Here is a 22,727-nt window from a genome sequence, read left to right on the forward strand (position 1 = left end):
CCATGCTCACCATTAACAAGTGAAAGCTTTCCTGATTTTTAATTTTCACATCTGGGAACTTTGCCTAGTCAAACATGCAACTTTAATAGTAAGTCCCTCACTCAACTATTTTTTATTTTTTCCTGTTGGCACATTCAGTTTGTGAGTTAATACAAGCATTTCTTATTTTGTGGCAACTCAGCCACCTTCCTCCACTGCCCCCCAGCCTTTACCTTCTCCTTCAGTGTTACCTCAGCATGATCCATTTAAGATTTACCCAGTGGGGTTATTGATCTTGTATTGTAGAGGATAAAAGTAATGTTTTCCTTTTAAAAGCTTTCAAAAGCTTGTTGGGGCTTTTTTTTTTAAGGGGGAACAATTCATAGAGAAGAGTTTGATGTTAGGCAAGTGGAATTTGGAGGGAGGAAGAGTGAAATCAGGAGCATTTCAAAGAGGAATAAAGTGCGTGGACTGTTTCTGCACACATGACGCTGGATCGCTCTTCTGTGTATGATAGCTGCTCCCCAAGGATGTTTGAGTGGTAAGAGTAGATAAGAATAAAGAGTGAGAAGAGGCAAAGAGTGTAAAAGAAGAAAACCAGGTAGACTTTGAATTCATGTTTGTGTGCAAATCAGATAGCTTAGAAGGGAATCTTTCCAGTGGGCCAGTTTTCACTAATGGAGTGAGACACCAACTGTCTTCTCTATTTTATTCCTGGCCAGGGGTCCTGCCATGCGGCCCTTTTCAGAGGCTGGCTACTGTACTCAGCTGGTCTCATGTGAGTGATGAGGCAGGTGTCCCCTCTTGTCTGCCTCGAACACTCCTTATAGGATCTCAGTACAATATTTTTAAAGTATTTTTCCTTTAGCGTATGGATAGAATCCATATGGGACCAAAGTTTAATAATAGAGATGTTGTGATTGAGTACTTTACAGTTCAATGTTCCCTATCAAACTACAGCAGCATCTGGGATACTGAATTCAATGACTCTAGAGTAAAACCAGCCCCAATCAATCAGTAATCTATGTATGTATTCATTTATTTATAGCACCTGTTATATGGTGGCATTGTTCTCAGTATCAGGAATTGTAATCGTGAAAAGAAAGATATGGTCTCTACTGTCACATAGGACTTCTTTTTGCTAGGCTCAACAGACTTCAAATAATTACAATTAAATATGATGAGCAATGAACATCGCAATAGAGAAAATACAGGATGTTGAGGGAGAGTGTGAAAGTCTTGGGCTCCAGTCCCTGAGGAAGGGACTTTTAAATTGATACCTGATGGTTGATTCAGAATTAACTGGGCAAATGGCTTACATTGTGGGAGTAGGAGGAAGAAAGGAACAGCATTTATGAAGGTCTGAAGATGAGAAAGAGTAGGGAGTTTCTCAAAACTGATAAAGCATTCCTTATATGGCTAGGACATCAAACATGATGCTGATTATTAATGATGGTGCAGAAGTAGTCAGGGACCAGATAAAGGAGACTTTATTGGTCATTATAATGAGTTTGAATTTTAGTCATATTTTTTATTTTAAAAAGATGAGTGTGCTGTAGTACACAGAGTGAATTATGGGGCAAGACCAAATTCATGGAAAGAGGTGAGTGAGTTGTTGCTATAGCTCAGGGTAGAGATGACAGTGCCTCGGATTAGAGTAATGACACTAAAGATGGAGAGAAATAGTAAGAACATGCATTGAAAAGAATTAGTGAATGAATGGAGGTGGAGGGTGAAAGAGGATAAAGGATAACTCCTGAGTTTTCTGCCTTGGATAACTGGGTAGACAGTGATGCCATTTATTGAGATAGGGAACACTGAGGAAGGAGAAAAGTATAGAGGGAGGAATTATATATTTATTTTTTAACCTTTTGAATGTGAACTGCCTGTGAGGAATCCAAGTGGATATGATTTAAAGGCAAGGGTTATTATAATAGGTTTGGAATTGAGGACCAAGATCATGGCTAGAGATAGAGAAGGAAATATAGATTTTGAAATGAATAGCATATCACTTTAATGGAAGATTTGAGAATGAAAGCAATCACTGAGGGAGAGAGTATAGAAGAAAAGGAACAGCTAAGACAGACACTGGAGGAATACTGGCATTTAAGGCAGAGAGGAGAAGAAAGAACCACGAATGAGCTGAAGAAAGAAGCACAGAAATGTAGTTTACAGATACCAAAGGAAGAAAGTGTTTTTCAGAAGGCCAGCCTTGTATAATGCTGCATTTCATGATAGTGGTCAGAAGGAGTTTGTGTTCAGAGGCAAAAGGGATATTCAGAGAAGGATTCAGGGAGGAGATAGCATATGACCTAGGCCTTGAAGGGTGAGTTGAGATTTGAAAGATGAAGCTGAGGAGAAAAGATAGAATACACGTGGGGAAGAGACACATGGAAGCAAGTGAATGCAGGGCCTGGTAAAAAGACAGTGGCCCAGGTTGTTTTAGCCTATGGTACAGAGGAGAAGATATCTAAACCCTGGAGATCTTCCCTCAACCTCTTCATTTAGTATGGAGAAAAGCAAGTGGGGATTATGTTGTGGAGGGCATCCCGACCCTGACATGGAGGAAATGAGTGTGGGAAGCACTTCAAGATGAGAAGTGTCTGAAACAGCCAAGAAAGGAAGGACTTTTGAAGATTAATAAATAAAAATACTTGATTTTACAGTTACAAATGTCATACTCTAGAAGTGGCATAAGACAAATCAACTCGAGGTAAAGGATTTCATCTTTGGCCCAATAAGACCAAAAGAAAATGTCACTCTCATTCTGAGTTCTCCCACAATTCTCAAAGAGAAATATGATTTAGGGAGTTGTAGTGCTTAGAAAAGATAAGGGTAGAAAGAAAGAAATATTCTGAACCAATAATAATATGTCATTATAAAGTAGAGAAATATTCATGATTCTGACAGCAGAGAAAGAAGCCATATTCTGCTTCCTCCTTAGTCCCCTCTTTTCTCTAATTGACCTGGATGCCTATACTTGAGGATTCAGAACTCATGGTCAGTTTGCTGAGCACTCAAAGTTGGAGAAAGACCCTCTGCCTCACTACAAGCAAAGAACAACCTTGTTCTTACAGCACAGATTAGGTAATGAGTTTATGTAGTTATGTTCAGCCTTGAGTATTTTGCAAGTATTGCCCTGATACTTATAATACTTAAAGTACATGGCTTATTGACACTATATACATAGCGTTAGCTAAATGTTCGGCTCCTCTGTTTTCCTTCGTGACAGGAGCACCCAGTGGTGCTGACAAAATTTGTTGAAGGGGCCCGAGAAGTAGAAATGGACGCTGTTGGCAAAGATGGAAGGGTAAGTGCTTTATTCTCATCTCCTTCATTCCTGCCTTCTCATCATTTTTTTCTTTAACAATTTTGAAATATTGACAGGTTAGAATTCATAATATCTATAAAACAGGTCTCCAGTAATAGTGGAGAAGCTGTAAAAAAAATCAAATTCTCTGACAATTCAGTTGATGTGTCATGGGTATCATATTTCCTATGTTTCATACTGTTAGAATTTCTCTGATGATATTCAAAAGTAATTATCATCCTGTACTCATCATTCCTTTTGAATAGATTTTCTCTCTCATTTTCTTTTGTCTGTGTCTTTCCTTTTATGTTTCAATGGCTATTATGAAAACATCTAATACTTTTCTTTCTGAAGTTCCCAATCGAATCCTGGTTTTTCTTCTTTCTTCATTTCCCATCCTCCTCCCTTTTTATTGGGTTAATAAAGGCAAAGTCAAACAGAGTAAAGTGGATAAGGATAATAATATTAAATTGGCTTACCATATCACATCTTGTATTTCTAATACAATGAATACCTCCAACTTCAAGGAGAAATGAAAATGTGAAGAATATTTTACTTTAGTTTTATAGTTGTATTAATAATGCATTTGTGACTTCTCTTAAAATGTAGTAAGTTATGTTGTAGGGAGTCTATGCCATTTTACTTGCTTTAAGGAAAAATACAAACTTAGCATTCATCTTCTGCTTTGCAAATACTTCAAAACACTACTGAAGATGTTAAATCTTTTTCTCTTTTTCCTTCCAGATTAGCATTTCAGAGTAGATCTTGTTAATAAAAATGGTAATGGTATCTACTTACAACAGAATCACATAATCTTGAGTTGAAACACCTTTAGAGATAATTTATTCCAGCCCTCCACCCTCCAAGTCAGATATTTTCTTTACAGCATCCCTGGAAGGTGGTCATCTGTTTTCTTTTAAACACTTTGGTGATACAAAGCTCAACACATTGTAAGATTATATATTGTGGTCACTTTTTTTTGACATCTCAGGTATTCTTTATCTTGAACTAAGGTCTGTTTCCTTGGAAGTCTTATCCCTGATTTTCTGAGTTTCAGAGCAAAAACTTAATCTATTTCCTTTTCAACATCTTAAGTATTTGAAGGTTGAGATATAAAATAAGAGGAACGTGATACCTATATATGGAAGTGGAGAATGTAAGACTGGCCTAGAGACATTTGTACTTTTTCAAATACTGTACTGGTAAAATAATGCTGGTTTGTTGGCTTTATTTGGCTCTAGGTTTGCCAGCATATGTGCTTTCCCTAAGGTTTTCTCAGATATCAACTATTGCACATCGTCCTGTACTCCCTCTTTTGGAAATGTTCCAGGTTATTCACATAGTTTTTAAATTGCCATGTTAAGAAATGGACATAGAACTGCAGGTTGCTGAGCTCAGTGGGGTGGGGTGCCTGAGCTCAGTGGGGTGAATGCCTCCCCTTTTCCAGACACTTCACCAAAAAATGAGCTCTTATTATTTTATAAATAAGCTCTTGTAAAAAATGAGCTCTTACTTATATGTGGTCTGTTTTATCCTTACAAACATTCTATGAGCAGGTACCATTGTTATTCTTATCTTATCAGAAACCAAGACTAAGTAAGTAAAGCACTTTGCCCAGGTCACAGAACAGAAGGATGGAAACTCAAATGTCACTGTTTTAAGACGTTGCTAAATCTGATAAGCAAATCTCTTATGTAATTTATTTAAGTCTTTTATACCTACCCAATTATTCTCCCTTACTCTCAGCTGCATCATTTCCCAAGGACACACATATTATTAACATATAGGTTATAGTGATTGAGACCACAGACTTTGGAATCTGACAGATAATATTCAAAATCCTAACTCAGTCACATACCAGTCACCTGAACCTGGGTTATTTATTATTACATTACTTTTATTTCCTTACTTCTAAAAAAGGACTAGAATATTTTTCCTTTCGACTCCTTCCTCTTTCAAACTTCCATTTAATGATCTCTTGATGAGATCTTTGAGACTTATTTTTGGTCCACCTAAGTTATACCATTTACCTAGATAGATATTGAGCTCTCCCACCTTCTTTTCTTTCCCAGTGCCTAAAAGATAAAGATATTTTAAGTGCTTTTCAAATGCTTTAGCTTCCTATCCTGTTCTTAAAAGTCAATATGAATTGGTTTAGTTTTACTCTTTTCCTATTACTTATACCCATGCTAATCAGTGGATGAGGGAGGTAGGCTCTCAGCCACTCTTAGCTGCCTCTACAGGAAATCTGTTACTGCACAGAGAGGCAGCATTTTCTACTGCTCTCATCAGGAATGTAGCAAGGGAACTACTTAGTGCTCAGTGCATCTGTTAGGACCAAAGGGGAGGATGAGGGAGTAGCTTCCTTGAAGGAAGTACCTGAAAACTTTTTCTAAAATCCTTTTTTTTTTTTTTTGGCCAGGTTATCTCTCATGCCATCTCTGAACATGTTGAAGATGCAGGTGTCCACTCGGGAGATGCCACTCTGATGCTGCCCACACAAACCATCAGCCAAGGGGCCATTGAAAAGGTCATCATTTATAAATAAAAGTGGAAGGGAAAAGGCAACACTCAGAAAAAAACACCTAAGGTTTTTTTTTTTTTTTTAAAGCTAGGTAGCAATGTAAGATATGCTGCAGGTTAAATTTAATGATGAGGCTAACTTCCTTGCTCTGAGTCACCTGGGTATTCTAAAGATAACAATTTTCTTCACTGTCCTTTTGAGCCCCTTTGGTTGTATGCGAGTACAGGGGTTCTCAAACTTGAATGTGCATCACAGACACCTGGAGAGCTTGTTAAACACATTGCTGGACTCCATCCCCCAGTTTCTGATTTCATATTTCTGGATCGGGCTCCAGAATTTGCGTTTTTCACAAGTCCTAAGGTGATGCTATTGCTGCTAGTCTGGGGATGGCAGTTAGAGAACTGCTACTCCTGGGGATTCTAATGTTTCAGGGCCACACACAGGTGAGCGGCATCTGAAGCAATGCTTCTCAGTTAGGAGTGGTGAAACAGGTGTGGACCAGTCACTTGAGAACTTTCTGGAATCTATGCTTTCCCTTCTCACCCTTGACTTCACCTCCAAACAGCACTTTTTGATATCTCTTTTGAGCTCCGAGAGCCAGCCGTATAAAGAACTTAACAAAAATAATGACTCTGCCTTAGTACTCAATATGCACTGCTAGGTGTACATTTAGAACCTATCATCTTTTTTTTTTTTTTTTTGGAGACGGAGTCTCGCTCTTTCACCCGGGTGGGACTGCAGTGGCGCGATCTCGGCTGACTGCAAGCTCCGCCTTCCGGGTTCACGCCATTCTCCTGCCTCAGCCTCCCGAGTAGCTGGGACTACAGGCACCCGCCACTGCGCCCAGCTAATGTTTTGTATTTTTAGTAGAGACGGGGTTTCACCATGTTAGCCAGGATGGTCTCGATCCTGACGTCGTGATCCGCCCGCCTCGGCCTCCCAAAGTGCTGGGATTGCAGGCGTGAGCCACCGCGCCCAGCCGAACCTATCATCTTAAATAAGCTTTGAGGAGGTCCCATTAGTCTTTAGGTATATTAGATCAGGCTCAGGCTCAGCTCTTTTTAGTGAGCTTTTCCAGTGACCCTGCCATCAGAATTCAGGCAGACCTGTCTCTCTGGTTGTACATTGGGCTGGATTCTGAAGGTCTTTGTTCTAGAAGGTAGAGGTAGCAGGATACTTTGTAATAGCAGAAGCATTAAAGAAAAAAGTCCTTGGATCTCAAATGTACTTCAGTTTCTCATGTCAGGATAAATGATCCTCAGAACTCAGGATTTTCCAAATCTCTCAGAGCTCAATGTGTCATAGACTCTACTTCGTTTTATACCCAATTACATTGCTGAACCACTCTTGTGAGCATAATGAGTGAGGAGCTCTTGCTCTTTGTAATCAATGCCCCCTCTTGGTATAGGGACATTCTGGCTCTGGTTGAATACAGGGATTCCTGTATGTGACATGCAGGGCTTCCCTGCAGGGAAACACTGTTTCCTTCTGAACATAATATCTAACCTTGTAGAGTCCAGGGCAACAGAAAAGCAACACAAAAGAAATCTCTCTGGTTTCTTTGCAGTACCATGTAATTTCAGGGCCTGTACCTCCCAGCAGGTAGGTCATTACATTGATATAGAGGTTGGACTGCAGTTTCTGGTGCTAAGGCAACTAGACTGAAAGGATTTCATTTAACCCTCAATGTAAAACCAGGTTATATAATTGTAGGTAGATAGGGGAATTTGGCAGAGAGATAATCGTGTACAATTATTTGTTCTTTTCCTATTATTTTGTGTGTATTTATTGCATATTATTTTGTTAATAGAAACCTAATAGTGCCCTCCATTATAATTATTAATGTAGATATATAGCTGTCTGTGAAGAGAAATTAAAGACATCCAAATTTAAGGTACTGTGCCTTTTAGAAAGTTTTCAAAAACTAAGATATGCTCTTTAGCACACTATACGATTATGCTTTTTAATTCAGGTGAAGGATGCTACCCGGAAGATTGCAAAGGCTTTTGCCATCTCTGGTCCATTCAACGTCCAATTTCTTGTCAAAGGAAATGATGTCTTGGTAAGAAATGCCAAGGTGCCTGAGAGGACACCACCACTGTGTTACGTCATGTTGGTTTGCATCTCTCTGGTAATCTTCTCTGTGAACACCAGACAAAGAGCAACTGAGACCCCTGGATCTGTTTGTGTCTGAGTGTGGAATGATGCATAGCATATAATGTCTACCTTATTTGAAGGCCCAGGCTATTGGTGGCACTGATAAGTCAGTTACAGCTTTGTAAAGCACACTGATCCACTGGGAAGGTCACTGTATGCCACCTACAGTATAGTATAGATGGATACGGTGAGACAGACTATCATAAATAAATGGAATGTGTAGAGTAGTCATAAATTCTGTGTACTGAAATTCTGCTTTACTCCTTACCCAGAGACGATACCATTTGCAAAAATGATAAATGAACTAGATTAGTCCTAATTAATTTAGTCTACTTAGTTTAACTAATCGGTAACTGCCTTAGTCTGTTTTGTGTTGCTATAACAGAATACTTGAGTCTGGGTAACTTGTAGAGAAAAGGGGTTTACTTGGCTTATGATTCTGGTGGCTAGATAGTCTAAGATTGGAAAGCTGAATCTGGTAAGGGTCTCAGGCTGCTTCCATTCATGGTGGAGAGTGGCAAGGGAGTGGGCAGGTGCAGAGGAATCAGATGGTGAGAGAGAAAGTAGGGGAGAGAAACTGAAGAAACCAGACTTTTTAACAGCCCACTGTTGTGGGAATTAATTTACTCCTACCAGACTCTGATTATCCTTTTTAATTTAGGTGAAGGATGCTACCCCAACAGGATAGCATTAATTTATTCATGAAAAATCCACCCCTCGGACCCAAACACCTCCCACTAGTCTCCAGCTTCCATCATGGCCACACTGGGGACCAAATTTCAACATGAGTTTTGATGGGGACAAACCACATCCAGACCATAGTAGTAACCAGCATTGATTTACCTCCTACTCGCAGTCATTTGGTGGCTGCAAAAATGTATTAAGCAAGCCTCTGCTCTCAAAAAATACTGTAATTTAGTGAAGGTTGGGAAGAAGGTAAATTTGTAGAAAACTATAAAGTAGAGTATCACAGTTGCTAGAGGGGATGTACAAATAAAATGGTATTGGAATTATAGAGCAGAGAGAACGTATTTGCCAGTGTGTGTGCATGAGCATGTATTTGAGCATCCTATGCTTGGTTAGGGGTAGATCATAAAAGACTTCAAGGTAGATTTTGTATTGTGAACTGGATCTCGCAAAACGGTTGGAATTTTGACAAGTTAACGATGGTAGAGAGATTATTACACATAGATAGAACATCATCTGTAAAGGTGAGAAAAGAGCATATTTGGAGAGAGTAAATAGTTCAGTTGAGTGAGATGATTTTACTGAGTAAAATGGGTGAACTGGGAAAGTAAGATTGAGGCCAGGAGGGTAGTATAAGATAAAGACAGTGAGGTCTCCAATGAAGCAAGAGGACAGAAGGCCTTCAGGGACTAGACTTTAATCTGAAGCCAGTGGACATCCAGTGAAGGTTTTCAGGAGGGGTATGGCATTATTTGAGCTCTGCATTAAACTAAACCTGTCAGCAGTGCATGGGAATGCAATTTGGAAAAAGGCATGAAAGAAAGTTAGAGTTCAAAGATACTGACTGAAAGTATCAGGAAAAATCCAAGCAGTAAGGAGAAAAGAGACAAGATTAGCAAAACAAGAGCTGGTCCCCAGTTAATAACAGCTGGAAACCAGTGGTAGAGAGAATATTAATATTGTTGTTACTGGCTCTCAATGTCCTCTTTCTCATTTTGAATTTTATCTCTTCAGGTGATTGAGTGTAACTTGAGAGCTTCTCGATCCTTCCCCTTTGTTTCCAAGACTCTTGGGGTTGACTTCATTGATGTGGCCACCAAGGTGATGATTGGAGAGAATGTTGATGAGAAACATCTTCCAACATTGGACCATCCCATAATTCCTGCTGACTATGTTGCAATTAAGGTAACATTTTCAAAAATTTATTAGTCATTTTATGAGTTCTAGTGAAATTAAAAGAACAATTTGTCATCAAAAATCTTGTTACTTTTAAAACCTTCTAACTAAAGGGTTGGACTAGGGATTTACATTTCCTTTCAATAATGTACTGCAGTTGTACTATAGGCAACTTTATGTGAACTGTTGTACATTTCAAAAAAATTTTTAAAACCATCTAGAATTGTATAACTTCAAAATCAATTAGCTGAGTGAATTATAAGCTTTTTGTGCAGCTGACACATGATGGTGCTAGTTTAGCTGGTAAATAGAAATCCAGGACACACCTTGTTAGGATAAAGCTTGAATTGTGCCAACTCTTACATGACTTTTGTAAAAAGGGTTAGCCTGTGGGGTTGATTAAATTCCTACCACATTGACCACCTTTGCTTAGTATATATTTTCTTCAGTGGCATGATTTTTCCATTTGAAAAATTGAGACAGCTGTTGCTGTATATGGTGCTGTGCGGTTGTTGAAATTGATGACACCTTTATAAAGAGTGACCAGGAAAATTTAAAGTTTGTTCACTAATTTCCAATACATATGTATATTTTAAATAATACCTTAATAATAAAGCCATTGTGATCTCCTAGCTGCATCAGTATGATGGTGCACAGAATTATGACCTTTAACTACTTGGCTGGACAGGCATGAGGATTAGTGATATATAAACGTATTTGAATTACGTAGATGAAGAGCACAATGAAATTAATATATTTATGTAACATTAATATTGATATATTTATGTAAAATTGACAAATTTCTGATGTTTTCAAAAGGTTTCCGTTCCTATATGTACTAGTGACTTCAACCATAATTGTGTTACAGCTCAGACTTGGACTTTTGACTTTTATGATGGGAACTTTAAGTTGAAGTTGTGAATTAAAAATCTTGTTTAAGCTGATAATGTAGGATGCCTTGAATTTTATAGTGCATTGAGATGGAATGTGACTTTTTATGTTGGGAGGAGAGGTGGCATTTTATTCATGGAGACTGTGACAAACATATATTGTTAAATCTTTTAGTAGAAAAATAGAGAAATTTTTTTTGAGACCAACGATTAGTAGCCACTGAAAAATATTTTTTTCCACTGGAGATTCTATATATGGATTTTAAGTTCATGTTTCTTTATTCATAGTTATAGGAGTATGCTTATTTCTTTTAGTAAATTGATATATGAATTTTTAACTAAAAATAATATTGATGGATAGATATGCTTTTTTTTTTTTTTTTTTTTGAGACGGAGTCTTGCTCTGTCACCCTGGCTGGAGTGCAGTGCCATGATCTCAGCTCACTGCAACCTCTGCCTTCCGGGTTCAAGCAATTCTCCCCCTCAGCCCCCCAAGTAGCCCCCAGGTAGCTGGGATTATAAGCACATGCCACCACGCCCAGCTAATTTTTGCATTTTTAGTAGAGATGGGGTTTTGCCATGTTGGCAAAGTTGGTCTTAAACTCCTGACCTCAGGTGATCCACCTGCCTCGGCCTCCCAAAGTGCTGGGATTACAGGTAGATATGCATTTTTTAAATGCACTGTATCTTCTAGCTTACTCATTCCCTAGTTAGCTTTGTATATAAATCTTAGTTTTTTTCAAATTACTTAGTAATTGTCAATCTTAATAGCCCTAGTGAGGCTAATTGGTATCAACAGATGGGGAAATAGGGAAGCTGAAATGCAGAAATATGTAACTTGACCAAGATGATCCAGTGAAATGACTCCCAAGCTAGAATTCCCATCATAATTTAGAATGGGTGCCAGAATCAATGGAGCAATTGATAAAATTCCTCCATGTACCAGATAAGTGGACACATAGCGAGAAACAAGAACTTAGTTTTTCATGAATTGCATCAGTAAAATAAATGAAAAGGAGGCACTCCTATACTCTAGTTCATATGAAAGTTCTGCACAAAGGTGTTTCCAAGCAGAATGTTTTTCAAAGCTTTTAAGAGGTGTCAACAACAGTTTAATGCCTCAGAAACTGGCTTACAGACAGCCATTTCTGGCAAGGTGGCTTGTTGCAAGTTCAAATGATCAGAACAAGAAGAGGAATGTTTCCAAAGCCTATCAAAGAGAAAAAAATGTGTTTGAACTCTGTCTGGAGAGACCAATGCCCAGTGGACTTTGAAATCATTCCAATAGGAATATGCATGGGCCAGATTAGAAACACTGGTCCAGACTGGTCTCAGGCGCCCTATTTACAGAATTAATTTGTGATTATTTAACCTAAAGTTTTGGCCAAGAGCTCAAGAAATTCTTGGAATGGAGTTTTAAAGCCATCTTTCAAGTCGGATGCTTGGACCCAAGAGATTTTTTACATGTCTACTGTAGCCTAAGTGAACTCTGTGAGAGATGATTTGCTAATATATTTATCCTCTCTTATTCATTTTCTACTTTTCCCTCACATAATTTTTCTCCCTGTTTTTTTTTTTTCCAACAGGCTCCCATGTTTTCCTGGCCCCGGTTGAGGGATGCTGACCCCATTCTGAGATGTGAGATGGCTTCCACTGGAGAGGTAACTAGTTAATAATCCATGGAAGCTTTCATTAAATCTACTTTGAAATCTATGGTTTTATGATTTGAATACAGTAAAATAAAGGGAATAAAAACATCTGCTATCAGAGTAAGACTCAAAGAGCTTATGAATTTTGAATTTAAAAAATATTTTACTTCTATTTTGAATAGGGTCTAAATTCTTATTTATATTTTAACATGGGAATATAATACATGTGTTACTAATTCATTTTCACATGAGAACATCTTCCAGGTATTTATCTAGACATCCAAGTAAATATCTTCTGTGTCTTACTTTTTATTTAAAGGTTCTCGGGTCTCTCTGTAACAACACCTCATTCCCTGCCTTGCTGCCATGAAATTAGATCATTTGATTTTTACTAGTAATATGGAGAATGACAGCATTATAAAGATCATAGACCTAAACATTGTGGAATCTGCAGATACATGCAAAATTTTAGGACTACTTTTAACCTCCTGGGGATTATCTAAAAACTATAATGGAATCGGCCACTGGATGTCCCTCTTCACTTGTGTTGGGGCTGTGTCAGCTGAAGGTTTCTTTAGGATTGTGAAATGTGTTTCTTGTAAAGAGCTGTCAGATTCTAGAAAGTTCTCTCCATGTCAGTGTCAGGACATTTTATGAATCACCTAGCCCTTGACAGACTTACTAGATACAAACTTCAGATTCTCATCAGTGCATATCCGAGTGGCAATATCAGACTGTGAGCCATCATTGTTTCCTCTTGGTATTAAGGAAAACCTAAAAGGATAAAATACTTAATTGCAACAAAGTACGTGATGTTTTATATGGTTGCCTGGTTACAAGCAAGATCTGTGATGAGAAGCCAAGTGAGACAAGAAGGCAGGCAGTCAGGAATAAATGGCTGTCCTGTTTGTATTTGGACTCTTAGAAAGGGGACTCTTTGCCTCTTTGTTGCTTCTTTTAATTTAAGGGCAAAAAAAACCTTACTTTTAAATGAAGGCACTATGTACGTTTCATCTCCAGTCGGTTTAAGGAGACAGTCTTCAGGTTCTTCTTGATCCCATGGTCGCTACTACTAGTAATGCTGATTTTAGATGGCCCAGGGTTCAGATCAGAGAGAGATCTATTTTCCTTCATACTGTTTTATTTTTCTTTCTTCCTTTTTTTTTTGAAACGGAGTTTTGCTCGCTCTTGTTGCCCAGGCTGGAGTGCAACGGCATGATCTCAGCTCATTGCAGCCTCCACTTCCTGGGTTCAAGCGATTCTCCTGCCTCAACCTCCTGAGTAGCTGGGATTACAAGCATGCACCACCACGCCCGGCTAATTTTGTATTTTTAGTAGAGATGGCGTTTCTCCATGTGGGTCAGGCTGGTCTCGAACTCCTGACCTCAGGTGATCCGCCCGCTACAGACATGAGCCACCGCAGCCGGCCCATGCTGTTTTCTTTAGCATGGCAAATTTGTTTTCAGTGGTTATGTTCATTCTGCATCCATACATATGTTATGGGAGTTATTGAAATATAAAAATAAGAAAGAATGAGAAATTCAGCTCCCCTTTGTTATATCTGTTTCTCAAGTATAAAGAGAATTTTTCTTCCATTATTTGAAAGAGTCGTTAATTCCAAGTGTCATACAGTATAATATTACGAGGTCTGTTTTATTACTGACATCAGAATTCTAGCTTAGTAAAATCTTAATTATGCTTCAAAGAGACATTTTCAGTGTCCAAATGGCTTGTTGTAGGATTAAATAAACATTCAGCTACTGATATAAGTAAGGGGCATTTTATGTTCCTAGTGGTAAAGTGGGGATATTAGTCCTAATCTTTAATGGCACATTTAACTACTTTCTATGGTTCTGTAGAAAATTTTTAAAACCTCGTCTGTGTTGTTGCATCTGCACTATGATGGGATTACCCAATTCTTTTCAATAGAATTTGAGACTCATTAACTTAGGTTGACCTTATTTAAGTTAGTTGCCCAGTACTTGACTGAGTAAAATGTTCACTGTGGAGAGAAAAGCAGCAACCACATGTACTGGTGACCAGCTGAAGGTTATAGTCATAAGAACTTTTCTTGCACAGAAATTGTAATTTGCTTAAGAAATGAATTTAGCCATCAGTGGTTTTTTTTTTCTTTTTTTTCTTTTTTATTATTATTATACTTTAAGTTTTAGGGTACATGTGCACAATGTGCAGGTTAGTTACATATGTATACATGTGCCATGCTGGTGTGCTGCAGCCATTAACTCATCATTTAGCATTAGGTATATCTCCTAATGCTATCCCTCCCCCCTCCCCCCACTCCACAACAGTCCCCAGAGTGTGATATTCCCCTTCCTGTGTCCATGTGTTCCCATTGTTCAATTCCCACCTATGAGTGAGAACATGCGGTGTTTGGTTTTTTGTCCTTGCAATAGTTTACTGAGAATGACGATTTCCAATATCATCCATGTCCCTACAAAGGACATGAACTCATCATTTTTTATGGCTGCATAGTATTCCATGGTATATATGTGCCACATTTTCTTAATCCAGTCTATCATTGTTGGACATTTGGGTTGGTTCCAAGTCTTTGCTATTGTGAATAGTGCCGTAATAAACATACGTGTGCATGTGTCTTTATAGCAGCATGATTTATAGTCCTTTGGGTATATACCCAGTAATGGGATGGCTGGGTCAAATGGTATTTCTAGTTCTAGATCCCTGAGGAATGGCCACACTGACTTCCACAATGGTTGAACTAGTTTACAGTCCCACCAACAGTGTCAAAGTGTTCCTATTTCTCCACATCCTCTCCAGCACCTGTTGTTTCCTGACTTTTTAATGATTGCCATTCTAACTGGTGTGAGATGGTATCTCATTGTGGTTTAGATTTGCATTTCTCTGATGGCCAGTGATGATGAGCATTTTTTCATGTGTCTTTTGGCTGCATAAATGTCTTCTTTTGAGAAGTGTCTGTTCATATCCTTTGCTCACTTTTTGATGGGGTTGTTTGTTTTTTTCTTGTAAATTTGTTTGAGTTCATTGTAGATTCTGGATATTAGCCCTTTGTCAGATGAGTAGGTTGTGAAAATTTTCTCCCATTTTGTAGGTTGCCTGTTCACTCTGATGGTAGTTTCTTTTGCTGTGCAGAAGCTCTTTAGTTTAATTAGATCCCATTTGTCAATTTTGGCTTTTGTTGCCATTGCTTTTGGTGTTTTGGACATGAAGTCCTTGCCCATGCCTATGTCCTGAATGGTAATGCCTAGGTTTTCTTCTAGGGTTTTTATGGTTTTAGGTCTAACGTTTAAGTCTTTAATCCATCTTGAATTAATTTTTGTATAAGGTGTAAGGAAGGGATCCAGTTGCAGCTTTCTACGTATGGTTAGCCAGTTTTCCCAGCACCATTTATTAAATAGGGAATCCTTTCCCCATTGCTTGTTTTTCTCAGGTTTGTCAAAGATCAGATAGTTGTAGATATGCGGCGTTATTTCTGAGGGCTCTGTTCCGTTCTATTGATCTATATCTCTGTTTTGGTACCAGTACCACGCTGTTTTGGTTACTGTAGTCTTATAGTGTAGTTTGAAGTCAGGTAGGGTGATGCCTCCAGCTTTGTTCTTTTGACTTAGGATTGACTTGGCAATGCGGGCTCTTTTTTGGTTCCATATGAACTTTAAAGTAGTTTTTTCCAATTCTGTGAAGAAAATCACTGGTAGCTTGATGGGGATGGCATTGAATCTATAAATTACCTTGGGCAGTATGGCCATTTTCACAATATTGATTCTTCCTACCCATGAGCATGGAATGTTCTTCCATTTGCTTGTATCCTCTTTTATTTCATTGAGCTGTGGTTTGTAGTTCTCCTTGAAGAGGTCCTTCATGTCCCTTGTAAGTTGGATTCCTAAGTATTTTATTCTCTTTGAAGCAATTGTGAATGGGAGTTCCCTCATGATTTGGCTCTCTGTTTGTCTGTTATTGCTGTATAAGAATGCTTGTGATTTTTGTACATTGATTTTGTATCCTGAGACTTTGCTGAAGTTGCTTATCAGCTTAAGGAGATTTTGGGCTGAGACAGTGGGGTTTTCTAGATATACAATCATGTCGTCTGCAAACAGGGACAATTTGACTTCCTCTTTTCCTAACTGAATACTCTTTATTTCCTTCTCCTGCCTAATTGCCCTGTATTTACTCTAATGGTGGTTCTGTACCTGTGCCAAATGATGATATACATGGCAGAATTGACTCCTATCAGGTTCAAATATACCACTTGTTCTATAATTATGTTGGCTATTTGACTTGTAGTTATATTGTAGCACAATTACCGTAAACCTAAATGGAACTTCTGTATACTCTAACATTACTATATATGTTAGTTTGTTTGGAATTGTTTTTTCCCCATATGGCTGTGGTATTCAGGACTAGTAGCAGGATATTTTGTTTCACTTTATGAAAATGATGTTTTTAAAAAACAGGTTCCTTTGAGGTTTTCATGGAGTTATTAAATTTCTCAGAAGGCTGTCTCATAAGCTCTATGAAATGGCTCCAAACCAATTCAGCAGTTACGCATTTCTGCTACTGACCGGTAAATTCATGCACGGCTGCATAGTATATATGACACATACTGTTATTTAAACAGTAAGTCATATTAACATTCGGAAACTTACCACATTATGGACCAGAAGCTGTGATTTGTATCCAAATAACTCTCAGTAGAATCCAGTTATGTTGCTCCATTGAGTGTTGTTGGATAGAAAAAGAATTGCTTATTCATTCATTATGCTTAATTAAAAACATAAGATACATCTGCCCTGGCCAGCCTTTTAATCCCTGGATTCAGATTGCACAGGCTTTGGGCAACATTAATAAAATCTACAGAAGGAGTCTATGAGTAAAGTACTTTCCATTTGTGCGTGCATGTGTGTGTGTGTGTGTGTGTGTGTGTGTATTTTAATTTTAATTTTTGGTAGGAGTGGTTGACTATTCTTTGCATCCTCTATTTTAATTTTTTATTTATTTCTAAACAGGTGGCTTGCTTTGGTGAAGGTATTCATACAGCCTTCCTAAAGGCAATGCTTTCCACAGGATTTAAGATACCCCAGAAAGGCATCCTGATAGGCATCCAGGTAAGTGGTTTGTGGCTGTGTGCTTGCCCATGGTCATACATGGTGAGTGGGGAGGGGCAGGATAGAATGTTAATTGTGGTATAGAGGAAGGGAGATTTGTTTTACGTTTCCGTTTATGGCAACTTCCAGGAAGAAGGGACATTTGTTCTCTATTTGCTTCCTGATTTTGCCTTCTGTTGTATCAGCCCGTGCAAAAATAAAATACAGACAGAAAGAAAATGTTTCTAGTGAAGGGATATTTGTTCTAAATGGGATGCAGGGTACTTTAAAAAATGAATCTCTTATTCTTTGGTTTTGTCTTTTCTATATGTTTTACTCTTAGCTCTCCATCCTTAGTTCCTGAACATAGGCATTATATGAGGTTGGATCTCACTTCCTCTGTTTCTCTTGATATTTCTCTGTCTCTTGATTTTCCCCCTTGCCAATTCATCCATGTCTATAGTACCTACTCTTCTATCTATAGCTACCACCTGTAAATTTACATCCTCAGCCATCCCATATTTCCAACAATCTGCTGGATACCTCCACTTGAATATCTCAAATCCAACGTTTCTCAAACTGAAGTCATATCTGTTCTCTCCTGACCATCTCCCCTTCCTTCCTTTCATTCATTCAGTCCTTCACATTTCAATCACTTCTAAATGCCAAGGATTCAAAGTTGAATACATTGATGTTATTTGATTAAATTTCTCAACTTAACACTCCAGATTGAAAGTTTTTGAAGGGTAGTGACTTAATGGGCCTAATACAGTCAGTTTATTTCATAGTATACTGTAGAAGTTCTTGAAATATTATTCATTGGTAAGCCTTCTAGGTCAAAGTAGGGTGAAATGAATATCTTTATGCAATAAAAAATGCACTGTCAATTTATTGATGTAAGTTAAATATAAATCTTAGGGCAAAATGATAGGAAACTTCTATTACTATTTGGAATGCTTTTTATTACTATTCAGAACTACTTTTATTACTATTACTAATTGCAAGAGTGTACAAACTGTCCTGTTTATAAATTTCCTGAAAAAATACTAGAGGCTTCCCAACTGGTCATTCATTTTTATTTGAGATTAGTAATTCTTGGGTCCTATGAAAAACAACAAATGGTCTTATATAATATCCCTGCTGTGCTTTTAATAAGCTCAAACTCTGCATGGCTACATAAAAATCAATAAAAATATAATTAGAACAGTACCAGGTATTCTCAAGCCAGTGGGTGATTATTTTAGATTCCATCTCATTAGGGTGTCTTAATATTAGCAAATTAGACTCTGGAGACTTTACAGGTAGTGGCTTTGGAGAAGTTTCTGCAAAGAGTAACTTGGGATTTTGCTTTATAAAGGTACCAGAAGGACGACGGTGAATAGTTAGAGCAGAGGCTAACAAGATGACTTGCAATTGTGAAGCTTAATGGCAGTTTAGAGACAAATCACACCATATGATAGACTCATCATGTTATAAATGGGTATTAAGTATTATTAAGTCCCAAGTAGGAGAATATTTGCCCAACTTCCAGTTATGGCTTAAAGTTTAATGTGAGACTTGGGGGCATTCAGAGGAGACCATGCCCTTAGTCCACATCTTCACATCTAATCATAATAGTGCTAACATTTTAAAATGCCACTTTAAGAAGGCAGTGATGTATAAAATTGTGCCTTGTTTGGTTCTAGTGCTGCAGGGAAATGTGAAGCAAAAATTAATTTGATCCCTATGAAGTATTTGCGTAATTTTGGCATTAGTGGACAGAATTTTGCTTTGTAGGGGAAAAAAGGGTTTGTTAGAAAAAATAATGTTTTCTTAAAGTAGTGAGAGCTGGCTATTGAAAATCTACCTTTCAATACTTTCCTTTTAAAAGAAATAAATGTTCTAGCAGCTACATGAGTTGTTGCGAAGAACTTTCTGCACATGAGAGCATACGGACACAGATTTAAAAATATATTAAAAAGTACTTAAAGGAACTTAATAAAATTATACTTAAGAAAATATTTACAGCCATGGCAAAATTGATCAGCTAATGCATAGTTTCTTCATTACTATATGTAGGATTTTCATTCATGGTGTTTTTAAAAATGCTTAGTCTGATAAACTGAAAAAGCGTGACAGAATATACTAAATGGAGAGTTAATAGCTATAAAACTTACTTGACTACTTCTTAGTTAGTATGGGGCCAAATCTAATCTCAACTTTTTACCACAGCTTCATAGCAATTGCAGATAAAGTAATTAGGGTTCCATATTTTAGGATACATTGTACTTTTAAAAAACATTTTATTTAACGTGATCCTACTTGGTCAGAAGAACTCATATAAACACTTTTGGATATATTAAGTTAGAACTGAAAAATAGCACAAAAAAGACTGCTAATATATAAATGGGGGTTAGGGATAGTAAATCCAATGGAAGGCATCTAGTTGAAGGTGAGTTATTATGAAGTTCCAAGAGAACTTGTTATATGGCAGTCTTTCTAACTTTTAAATTTCTTCTCTCTTTCCCACCCTACTCCTTTACACATACAGACTCTCTGTTTCTGGTCTTCCAAAGTTAAATCCAATAGGTCAAAGTATCTGGGAAGTTTGAAATATTCATAACATCAATCTTATAACTAGGACTTAGGATAAAAGAATCAAGATGTAGATTTTGTCAAAGGATTCTTCTCAATCTATTACATTCCCTGTGTCTCTACCAAGGCATTTCTAACATAAGAAAGGCATAACACAGGTTTATATGGCAACAAAAATCATCTTTGATTTTCCTGTAATATTTCTAGCCACCTTTCATCGCATTAGGATTTATTTTTAGTTGCTGTGAGTAGGCAATCTGCCTTGTTTTGAAGTTTTCTGGAAGACCCTTTAACATTAAATGATTTACTCTAGAGTAGATCAAGAGCACTCACTGTGTTTTCCTCTCTGATTGGGCTATTCAGTGATGCTTGTGGAGTGGCAAGTACCAATCTGACATCTGCGCTTCAGCATCGCTCAGAAACACAAAGCAAGCATTTTATTTGAAAAGACAACTCCAAGTGACATGAATAACCTTTTATCTTTAATATGGAATCATTAGGAACAACCATAGAGTTGTCAATCCAGAGGTCCCCGTAGAATCCACAGGCATCACATAGTATTAACTTGGCTTTCTTTTCTGTAGCCAGGAGTTGGATAAATGTGAAAATGATCATTGGAGGAAATATATATATTTTTCACTTTTAAAGGACTGTCTTCTTTATAAACATTTCCAAGAAAATAAATCAGCTTGTACTTTTCACCTTTCGTAACAAATGGTTTCTTACACAGGTATTTTCAATCAGCTTTTAAATCTGAGGCTACTCAGATGCAAGCTGACAGCTGTAATTTCTTTTTGTAGAGAGGCTGTTTTATGTGTCACAAGTGTTCAATACATGTTTGATAGAAGTTTATAATGTGCCTATGGAAGCCAACACCCAGACCAGAAGGTAGAGTGGTTTCCTGGCTGGGAACTGTCGATACTGTCATGTTGGATATTTATCTTTTCCACCTGGGGGACAACACTGAAACAGCTCCATAATGAGGTTCTGCCTGGTGTCTGCAGGTCTTAGAGGACTTGCTGACTTATTTTACTTTAAAATGGCAAAGAAAAAAATTACATTCTAGTACTCCTCCCTTAATGTTTTTCGTGGTGATTTTAGCCAAGGTTAATGCAATCTTGACTTCATATTACACAATGAGTGAACGATAGTCTTCCTATCCCCTATTCCCCCCTTTCTCAAGCTTAAGTATGCATCAAAATCACCTGGAGGGTTTGTAAAACAACAAATTGCTAGGATCCACTCCCAGAGTTCCTGATTCAATAGATCTGGGGTGGGGTTCAAATTTTCATATTTTTAATAAATTCCCAGGTAATGCTGATGCTGCTCTGCCAGGGACCACAGTTTGAGAACCACTCTACTTGAGCGATGGTACTTTAGAAACCTGGTTAAAAGTTATGTTAGCACTTATTATTGTCAAACATATTATCAGGGAATTTTTGCTAGGGGAAAGTATAAAAGATTGAGGAAAGTTGAGTGCATGATTAATGTATCAATTAGCAAGTGTTGGAGATCATTATGCTGAGCCTTCTAATGTGATTTGGTACTTACTGAAGTCTATTCTGTGTTTAGCAGAGGGTCACAATGTAATGTTCCATATTAGGGGTATTTAACAACATTTGGAAGTTCATTTTGGACATTTCATATATATTTGTTATATACCAAGGAATCTTAAAACATGAAAAAAAATTTATATGCCATCAAATTTAGCCCTTTGCCTTTTCTGAGGAGAATGAAACTTGAATTGTCTTATTCTTCTGTCTAACCAATTGTCCTGATGTCACTAAGAGTTATTCTCTAATTTTTTACTTGTTTTTTTCTTTTACGTCTAACCATGAGCTTCTTGCATCTAAGCTCATTTCTTTCTGTTTGGTCCTAAGTGGAAATGAAAAGCTACTTTCCTGGGCATGGTTAAAATTCATGTTCTATAAGGCAGTCATGAATAACCACTGAGCCTGCCTCAGCTGAAATTCATCCAGTTACATTTATCTATTCTATTTACCAATAGTTTCCTCTTATAAAACTGCAGTTCTGGGATTGAGGGGGCCAGAATCTGAAAGAATTTTATATTTGAACATAGTCTTTGGGGTCTTTTCTTAGGATTTAGATCTGTGCTCAGAAATACTCTGCAAGTAAATATTAGGGGGTGTTATGGGCTAAACATTATCAAAATTGTGCAAGGATCACATGTGTTTTATTGTCACAGTTCCTAGTTTCTGACTCTGAAATAAGATCATTTGATTTTTTCCAGCCATCACTAATATGGTTTATAAACAGGTTACAAGACATTTGCTGAAGTAACTAGCTCATGTCATCTGTTTAAAACCTTTTTACAAGGGAAACCAACAAGAATGTTCCTATTTAAAGAAGAATGGATATGTTTTTAACAGTGTGTGATTTTAAATACGCCAGCTCAGTTACTCAGACACTCATGTTAATGAAGTCAAGGTCAGGGTTTGATCTTTGGGTAGGTCACCTAGTGTTGTTTTCTTTCATTCTGACCACTATCTTGCAAACACTAGCTCTTGATCACAGGAAGTATGTTCAGAAATAGGGAACTCCTGATGGCAATGGTCAGGAATCCAGGGAAGGTAGGGGCTGGACACTAGACAGGTCCACCTGGGGTCCTAGGAAAGACACAGCAATGGACTACAGGAAAATATCTGAACAGTGAGATGGAGCATTAGGGAAGCCTGTGTGGAA

At 37.7% G+C, this 22,727-nt stretch overlaps 1 protein-coding gene across 6 annotated transcripts in view; it reads left to right on the plus strand.

Annotated features, from left to right (window-relative positions):
* CPS1 (carbamoyl-phosphate synthase 1) overlaps positions 1-22,727 on the plus strand; it is a 201,423-nt gene that overhangs the window by 173,129 nt on the left and 5,567 nt on the right. For all 6 annotated transcript variants that reach the window (NR_161225.1, NR_163592.1, NM_001369257.1 and 3 more), the window contains 6 exons: positions 3,212-3,289; positions 5,712-5,819; positions 7,786-7,875; positions 9,672-9,842; positions 12,310-12,384; positions 17,373-17,471. Coding sequence is in view for 4 of the 6 variants with exons in the window: in NM_001369257.1 (NP_001356186.1) it covers positions 3,212-3,289; positions 5,712-5,819; positions 7,786-7,875; positions 9,672-9,842; positions 12,310-12,384; positions 17,373-17,471 (621 nt within the window). In the remaining 2 variants the exon portion in view is untranslated. The remainder of the gene's footprint in view (positions 1-3,211; positions 3,290-5,711; positions 5,820-7,785; positions 7,876-9,671; positions 9,843-12,309; positions 12,385-17,372; positions 17,472-22,727) is intronic.

This window comes from Homo sapiens, chromosome 2, assembly GCF_000001405.40.
Source record: "Homo sapiens chromosome 2, GRCh38.p14 Primary Assembly".
NCBI lineage: Eukaryota > Metazoa > Chordata > Mammalia > Primates > Hominidae > Homo > Homo sapiens.